At 37.9% G+C, this 7,971-nt stretch overlaps 1 protein-coding gene and 1 pseudogene across 4 annotated transcripts in view; both read right to left on the bottom strand.

The window, feature by feature from the left end:
* Positions 1-42: 42 nt before the first annotated feature.
* JHY (junctional cadherin complex regulator) overlaps positions 43-7,971 on the bottom strand; it is an 81,104-nt gene continuing 73,175 nt past the window's right edge. For 3 of the 4 annotated variants that reach the window (NM_001363089.2, NM_024806.4, NM_001363088.2), the window contains 3 exons: positions 7,329-7,409; positions 6,414-6,542; positions 43-4,657 (listed from right to left, as the gene is read on the bottom strand). In NM_001363089.2, the coding sequence (NP_001350018.1) occupies positions 4,460-4,657; positions 6,414-6,542; positions 7,329-7,409 (408 nt within the window). In that variant the 3' untranslated portion in view covers positions 43-4,459. The remainder of the gene's footprint in view (positions 4,658-6,413; positions 6,543-7,328; positions 7,410-7,971) is intronic. The other variant, NM_001363087.2, reaches the window with a different exon arrangement.
* On the bottom strand, positions 2,621-3,652 carry ATP5PBP5 (ATP synthase peripheral stalk-membrane subunit b pseudogene 5; annotated as a pseudogene).

The raw sequence follows: 7,971 nt of genomic DNA, 5'->3' as shown, positions 1-7,971 counted from the left end.
GAAAAACACAATTAAAAGGAGGCTTTAATAAGAGAGAATACATGGTTTAAATGTCTTTTATTTGCACCAGTTTATAGACATTAGGCAGATTAGGTACTATGTCTTTCAATGGCATGTATATAACATCTAGTCAAATACAGGTGCTCCATCATTACATCACTTAAGTTTGAAGTTTTTTGTTTTCTAATTGGCAGATTATTTTTTGCTTTTGAATATTTGAAACAGAAATGCTATGAATTGATCACTGATCCAACTTGGGCCTATAAAAGATCACTATTGTTGTCATTAGTACAATTTACTTTAAAACAGGAGCAAAAAACGTGTCTGTCACTCCCTGTTTTTGCAAAATCTCTCCCCTTAGTTTTATGGTAGTTTAGTGACATTCTGCTGTATTTCACTATTGTGAGATGACGTGGAGCCAAATGAAGGGCCACTTTGATCCATTCTTTGATTTCAACCCCAAACTTTCTGCAAATATGTTTTATTTCCTAGCCAAAGTTATTTTAGATGCCACATGGCACTATATAAAGAATTTTAATGTTCTAGAGTCTTATGTACTGGATAGTAAAGAGTTGCCTTGGGGGTAAGAATCCTGTGAAATGTTGTTTGACATGAACTGAATCACTTAAGCTGCTTCAGCCAAATTTGGGTTCTTGACAGTAGGTGTGAAAGTGAAGGATTTAACAACGCTTAAGCTAACAGAAAAACAGTATGGGAAGTTTTTGAAATGTTCTGGAAAAAAAAAAGAAAATAAATAGTGTCTCTTTTATTGGTCAGTTTCTAAGTTTGAGTTGCTTTATATGTGTATTCTACTTTTATCAATGTTGTAAGGAAGTTGGCAGATTGTACATGCTAAAAAACTATTAGGTACATAGTAATGCATATTTCTAAAAATTGAACTTGGTGGAAATTCAGGTCCAAAATAGAAATTCATAGCAACTATATGTTGCTCATCCACACAGAGAAACAAGGACAACCTCTTTCCATAGACAAATAAAAAGTACTATTCCTGGTGTTCAAAGATGGGAGATTCAGACCTGGCTCCCCTCCCATTACTCTCAGTAGGACTGATGGACTTCCGAGTCATGTAACCTTTCTCTTCACCTCCATTTCATCTTCTGAAAAACTGGCAGTTGAATGTGACAAACTTTCCAAGCTCTAAACTATTTTAAGATAATACAAATGGAATATTTAAAAATTTTACCCTATCCCTTTAAATATGAATGTCTCTATATGCATTCTTTTTCTCTTCCAAATTAAGTTCGAATTTAAGGCCATTTCGGAAACAATTAATGAAGGTTATTCATTCTACCTCATATTTCTAGAAATGTCTTCATGCACCTAGAAGGGCCTCTTCTCTTATAAATACATTTTAGGAGTAGTTTTGGCCTGTGATTTTCCTGTCTAATGCCTCATATATTACATTTTCCAAATCCCACTGAAACATGATTCACCAGTTTTCTGTTTATCTTCAGATACTTGTTATCTTTGCAGACTCTCAATTCTAACTGCTTTCAGTTTTAAGAGAAGGTTTCATACAGGCATCTTTTATGCTACATTTTGGTATATGTAAAATGTATACAACATAGGAGTACATTTCCAAAGCTAGTCCTTACACCACACGTATAGATAAACAGATTTTCCCCAAATTGATGTTCAAATTATCCACTTCTGGATATGCCTATCTAAAAATGTAATGTCCATCTAATATAAGGAAGGAAGTAGAAAATTAAACTCTCCAGTAATGATTTTAAGACTGGGAATTCTTGCAATATTAAAAAAGATTTAAAAACTAAAAAATATTTATTAACATTTGTATTCAGTAGTAAACTATGGAATGCTTTTGTCTTATCTATTTTTGTGTGTGTGAAAACACACATTTGACAATATTTTAAGATATTTGTGATGGCAAAATGGCCAGCAAATTTATGTACTTGGAGTAAGGAGCTTTGATAAAGTGTGTCTCTCAGAGTTGCCTGCATTAGGTGTTTCTGGACTTGTTGGAGGGTTTCTAACTAATGTCTTGATGCTCTGTTAGAACAACATTAGGATTTGTTCTATCTGAGCAGGCACAGCCAGATGTACCTTCATTTTTTTTCAACTTTATTCTTTATTTATTTGTGTTTCATTCAATTGTCACTTTATTGCAAGATGGTAGAATTAATTACAAATTTAAACTATAACCTGGTAATCTTTAGTCAGGCACCAAGATTTAACAAAGGCAAACTGCTTATTCAAAAGTGATCATAGGGCCAGGTGTAGTAGCTAACGCCTGTAATCCCAGCACTTTGGAAGGCCAAGGTGGGCGGATCACCTGAGATCAGGAGTTCAAGACCAGCCTGGTCAACATGGCGAAACCCTGCCTCTACTAAAAGTATAAAAATTAGCCGGGCGTGGTAGTGCACGCTTGCAATCTCGGCTACTCGGGAGGCTGAGACAGGAGAATTGCTTGAAGGGAGGCTGAGACAGGAGAATCGCTTGAATCCAGGAGGCGGAGTTGCAGTGAACCGAGATTGTGCCACTGCACTCCAGCCTGGGTGACAGAGCGAGAGTCTGTCTAAAAACAACAACAACAGCAAAAAAAACAACAATAAAAAAATGATCATGGAACAACTCAAATGCTGAGTAAGAAGGATGGGAAACATCTGATTGGCCAATAGATTGAGTTCTCTCAGTATAGGGAACAAATGTTTCATTTTTAGGAGATATAAACTATCTACTTCAGTAGAGGGCAATACAGAAAGATTTTGCCACATAGCCTAGTTTCCATTTAGTCAGTCAACTGTTTCTGGCTCTCTCAATTGGGATAGATACATTTACATAACTGGCTGTGCATGAGTCTTCTTTGCCAACAGCTTTAGGTCCCAAATGCACTTGGCAATTGTCTCCTTTTCCTGTTGTGCAGAGATGCTCTGCACCCAATTTATCATGTGCTCTTGTTCCTTTCAACGCATCATGTTCTGCACAGATATATGATAGTCCAGGCGATTCTTTACTTCCTTATACACTCTATGCAGTCATTCCCAGTAAGTAACCTCCACAGCCATAGCAATGTTATTCCTCTGCACATCAAAAAGGTAATGGCGCTTCTGAACCAGTGAGCGCTGCGACTTCTCCAAATCAATTGCATCCTGGATTTGTTTGATGGAAGCCTGCTTCACCTCTTCTAGTTGGGCAATGTTTTGCTCATTGAGTTGATAAGCAGATTCTCCAATAGAGGCACCATATTTTTAAATTACATAGACAAGTAACCCTACTATTGATATAGTAGAAAAGGTCTCTGGGGTAATCATGTATATTTCTTTGGATAAAGCATACAAGATAAGCCCAGTTTGGAGCACATAGGGTCCTGTTACACTGGTTTCAGGATAAAGAAATTGGAAGAATTCCTCAGGGATCAGCCCAAAACGAACTTTTCCTCTATAGGAAAAGGAAGGAAGAGGTGGTAGAGGGGCAAGGAGTGGCTTCCCTGTGTGAAAGGTCCTTGTTGCCTGCAATACCCCTGGACCTAAGAAAACTGCATTCTACAGAGAGGGGGCCACTGTGGCAGTGGCAGAAAGTGCCACCCAGGACAGCATGGTCAGCGAAGACCCAGGCAGCCAGCTGTCTTAACATCCCTGTGACCCCGACCAGAGAATCTGTCAGGGCAGGAACCTTTTGTTGTTGTTGTTCAGACAGAGTCTTGCTTTGTTGCCCAGGCTGGAGTGCAATGGTACAATCTCGGCTCACTGTAACCTCTGCCTCCCGGGTTCAAGCAATTCTTGTGCCTCAGCCTCCTGAGTACCTGGAACTATAGACATGCGCCACCACGCCTAGCTAATTTTTGTATTTTTAGTAGAGATGGGGTTTCACCATGTTGCCCAGGCTGGTCTCAAACTCCTGGCCTCAAGCTATTCAACTGCCTCAGCTTCCCAAAGTGCTGGGATTACAGGCGTGAGCCACTGTGCCCGGCCTCAACTTAATATATATAAGCCCTTTGCCAAACTTGGAGATTTTAGTAATATTTTGAAATGTTATCACAAAATTTATGGATGACTGAGTTCATTTTAGGAGAAACTGAAATGTTTATACTTGTTTTTCTTACTAGGAAGGTAAGAGAGAAACACAGCTACATTTATTTCTGGGTAACTTTAAGGTTTCCATTATGCTAAGGAATGGGGTAGAGATGAAGAAATCAAAAGATCAATATAAAACAAAAGCTTTATTCTCTAGTTATTATTCAGCTCCAATTCTAACTGATTTGAAAATAAATAATTTAAAAAATTTTCTTCCTAGAAAGTAAAATATGGCACCATAATCCAATTGGGCCTCATATTTTAAATCCTGCAGAAAGCAAACATGGACGGCAGATAGATGATAATAATAGGCCATTACTCTCAACGCAGAGAAGGTGGTTGGCGTTTCTTTTCTCCACGTTCATTCCTGGACCATTTTTGGTCTCCTTCCTATCAAATGTTGTCTATACGATGTGAAGGACTTTGAAAGCAGCCACAGCCTGTTTTTCCCTTTCGTGTCTGTTCTGCAGTATTTCCAGCAGTGAGATTTCAGGTAAACTTTCTTCTTTCCCAGCATAGGTTGGATTTTTTTGTTCCTTTGATGCTTGATGAGTCAGATTTGATGGTTTGGGTTTGGGGATGGTCTTAGCGTATTCCAAAGCCTAAACGCATAAAGATGAAATTTTATTTGAAATGGGAAGTGAGCCTGGATTCCTTAAATTAAATCTAGGAAATGTTTATTTATAATATAAATGGAGACTATCACTATAACTTACTAAGACATTGGTGGAAATGGAGATCAAACAATGCAATATAACACACAGTTTAAACAAAATACATTAGCCACAAAACAATATATTGTGGAAAAAAAGGAGTTGAAGAATAATACATACGGTTGTGTCCTTTGGATGCTTTTGTCATAAAACTGAGTTTCCTTCAAGTGTTCCTTCTTATGTGTTTGGTCTACTTAGTTTCCGGAAGTCTTAGTAAAACCAAACTTCTATTAAGGAGATATTAATAGACCTTTCTATCCAAAGAAGACTTGTTACAGCTTGAGACCAAAGACATCACTGTAGTTTACATACACTTGAGCTCCCATCATTATACCAGCTATTCTTGTTCCTAGGATCTAGAAAGTATTTGAGGTTGAAATTTTTTTCTTTCTATAGCAATCTAGACGCTGAAAAAGGCAGTCTTTTTCTCAGTGATGTCAGTTCTGAAAGGCATTACAATAAAAATGAGATCACTAAATATGATTCCTAAACCTGCCTTTATAACAGTTTTGCATTTTAGTAAGATGTTGTTGATAGCTGAAATACAAATGGATTGTATGCTTTCAGTCCTGCAAGGGGAAAAAAAAACCCTCTAAAATGTAGAAAAGAAAAGTCTAGACTTCTCAGTGCATGTAGGTGAATGCTACAGATATTTCTAATTATAGGTTTGTTGCCTTGAAACTCTTCATGAAAAAAAAATGGATTGGAGAAAAAAGAAAAAGTAGCACCATAGAAACTCAATCAAGTGGATTGAGGTCTTCAAGGTCTGAGGAAGAAAGGCAATAAATAGAAAATATGATGGTCTGTGAAAGAGAACATGAAGTACAAATTCCTGCAGGCACCAAAGGATCTCTTGTTCCTCATGCAAAGGGTCCCGTGTCCTTACAGGGACTGGATAGATCAATTGAGGCAGAGACTTGTACTGCAAAGCTCTGTGTACATATTTCATTCACATCACAACTGATGGTTGATGCCATCTGAGAGGGAGAACATTCTGTATTCCATGAAATCATTTTTCTTCAATAGAGGAACCTATATATTACAATCCCTATGGAGAGTGTAGGGGAATGAAGTTGAGAGAAACAGTGTTTATATGTCTTTTCTTTGACATATAAGCAGCAAGAAGACAACAACTGCCTTAAAGCTTATTTAATGATACAAAATAAAATTGATGATGAAGCTTGCTCATTTAAGAAATCACATTATTATTTAATTTTTATGTGTGACACATTTAAAATACTATTCCTGGAAGAAAAGACATGGAGACAATAACTTCAGGAAAAACAAAGGTTAACTTTACAAAAGTGTGTGTGTGTGTGTGTGTGACTGTGTGTGTGTCACTATTGCATTGCTATCTGTGAATGATGGGTAGCTACAGGAATGGAAGTAGCTAAAACATCTCCTGCGTTCCAAAAAAATGGGAAGGTTTTTTTTTTAAGTTACAAGAAAACGGGCTGGGTGTGGTGCCTCTCCCAACACTTGGGGAGGCTTAGTTTGGAGGATAGCTTGAGCCCAGGAGTTTATGACCATCCTGGGCAAGACGGCAAGACTCTGTGGCTAATTAAAAAAAAAAAAAAAAAGCGATAATAAAAGTTTCCTTTTAATTCTGCTTGAAAAAATAAATGCCTTGTTGAGAATTTCTTACCTTCTGCCGAGGGATAGCAGATTTCTTTTGAGTTTTTTCTGTTTGTGGTTTTGATAGAATGGATAGTGTCTTCATGTTGTACTCCTTGACTTGTTTTGCATATTCCTTTTGCTGTATTAATTTTTGCGTCTGTTCAGAGAAACAAAGTTATGATGAATCCAGGTGCTGCTAGTTCTCTCTGCTCTCTATTTAAAGCGATGCCCTGGTTTCAGTATACTGGGCGTATCTTATCAGCTGTACAGGAGCAATGGGATCACCTTGAGTAAGGTGGCAGCAGTGAAATGGTTAAGTTAATTGTTTCTCCTTGAAATAGTCTCTCTGTGAGGAGGCACATCACTGCAATATCACGCCCGGTATTCCCTTAACAGGGGCTAAATCACATTCAGAACCTTCTTTGTTGCATTTACCCAATTTATTTTCATTTTTGCTTCCAACTTTGAACTATACTCTCTTTTTATGCCTTGAGTGCAACTGCAGTTAAAACACATTAAATGAAGATCTCCTTTCACTAGAGGAAAGAGAATAAAGTGGATGCACTTTTCAGGGGTTGGGAAACTCTTCCCGTAAGTGTCTTCTCTGTGGCCACTCTTCACAATTATCAAGATAACTCTAGTAGGAAAGACCAACAACCACATAACATACACATTTCTTTTCAGGTGCACAGGCCCCACTTTTCCGTGCGGGCCTTCAAAACTAACTGAAAGACAGATACATAAAACAACACGGGCTAAATATTTTTATTTTAAGGCAAAAGGCACGTGTCTGGGTCTCTATACCAAGATTATTTCAGAAGGTCTCTATTCAGAGTGAGACATTTGAATTAGGGTTTAATTCTGGGGGGCGTCTTCATAAAGTTTCCTAACAGACAGATGGGCTGAGTCAGGTCTGGAAACACTGTATGTGCATCTCACTCACTTTGTCTCTGATGGACTCAAAGTCAGGTCCGAGGCCTCCAAGCTTCACGTCTCTTTTCTGATAACCTTTCAGCTTGGTGTTCTAAAAATACAACCACAGAAACAGTTTCTTTTAAGGACTTGTGTGTCCCCCGACTCCTAACACCCTGTAAGGTGTCATAGCCACATAAAGTAAGAAAGAAAATAATGAAAGCCTGTGTGCACTGTCAGAGAATGGCCGCATTTCCTGACAATGCTTCCATTTTCATGGTAGTTATTGGTAATAGTCTCTTTGGTAATTCGTAGCTGGTTAGCTAACATGTTTTCACTTTTCCACTTCTGCAATAAAGAAACTTAAAATTCTGAAATTACAAATAAAAGTTTTCAAGCTAGTGATGTCCTGTTTTCTTACGAATGTTTTTTATTTTATTTTTTTTTTTTTGGAGATACCTGGTTTTGCTGTGTTGTCCAGGCTAGACTTGAACTCCTGGGCTTGAACTCCTGAGCTTAAGTGATCCTCCCACCTCAGCCTCTTGAGTCGCTGGGATTACAGATGTTAGCCACTTCACCTGGCCCTTGCTATTAACGTTTTTAACACAACATATATGTTATTACTTTGCCACTGTTCCTATTACCATTTTGTCCAGTCTTAGACAGTTTACTGG

This window comes from Homo sapiens, chromosome 11, assembly GCF_000001405.40.
Source record: "Homo sapiens chromosome 11, GRCh38.p14 Primary Assembly".
Taxonomy (NCBI): Eukaryota; Metazoa; Chordata; class Mammalia; order Primates; family Hominidae; genus Homo; species Homo sapiens.
Note: the sequence above shows the minus strand (reverse complement) of the source record. Positions and strands in the feature narration are given on the sequence as shown.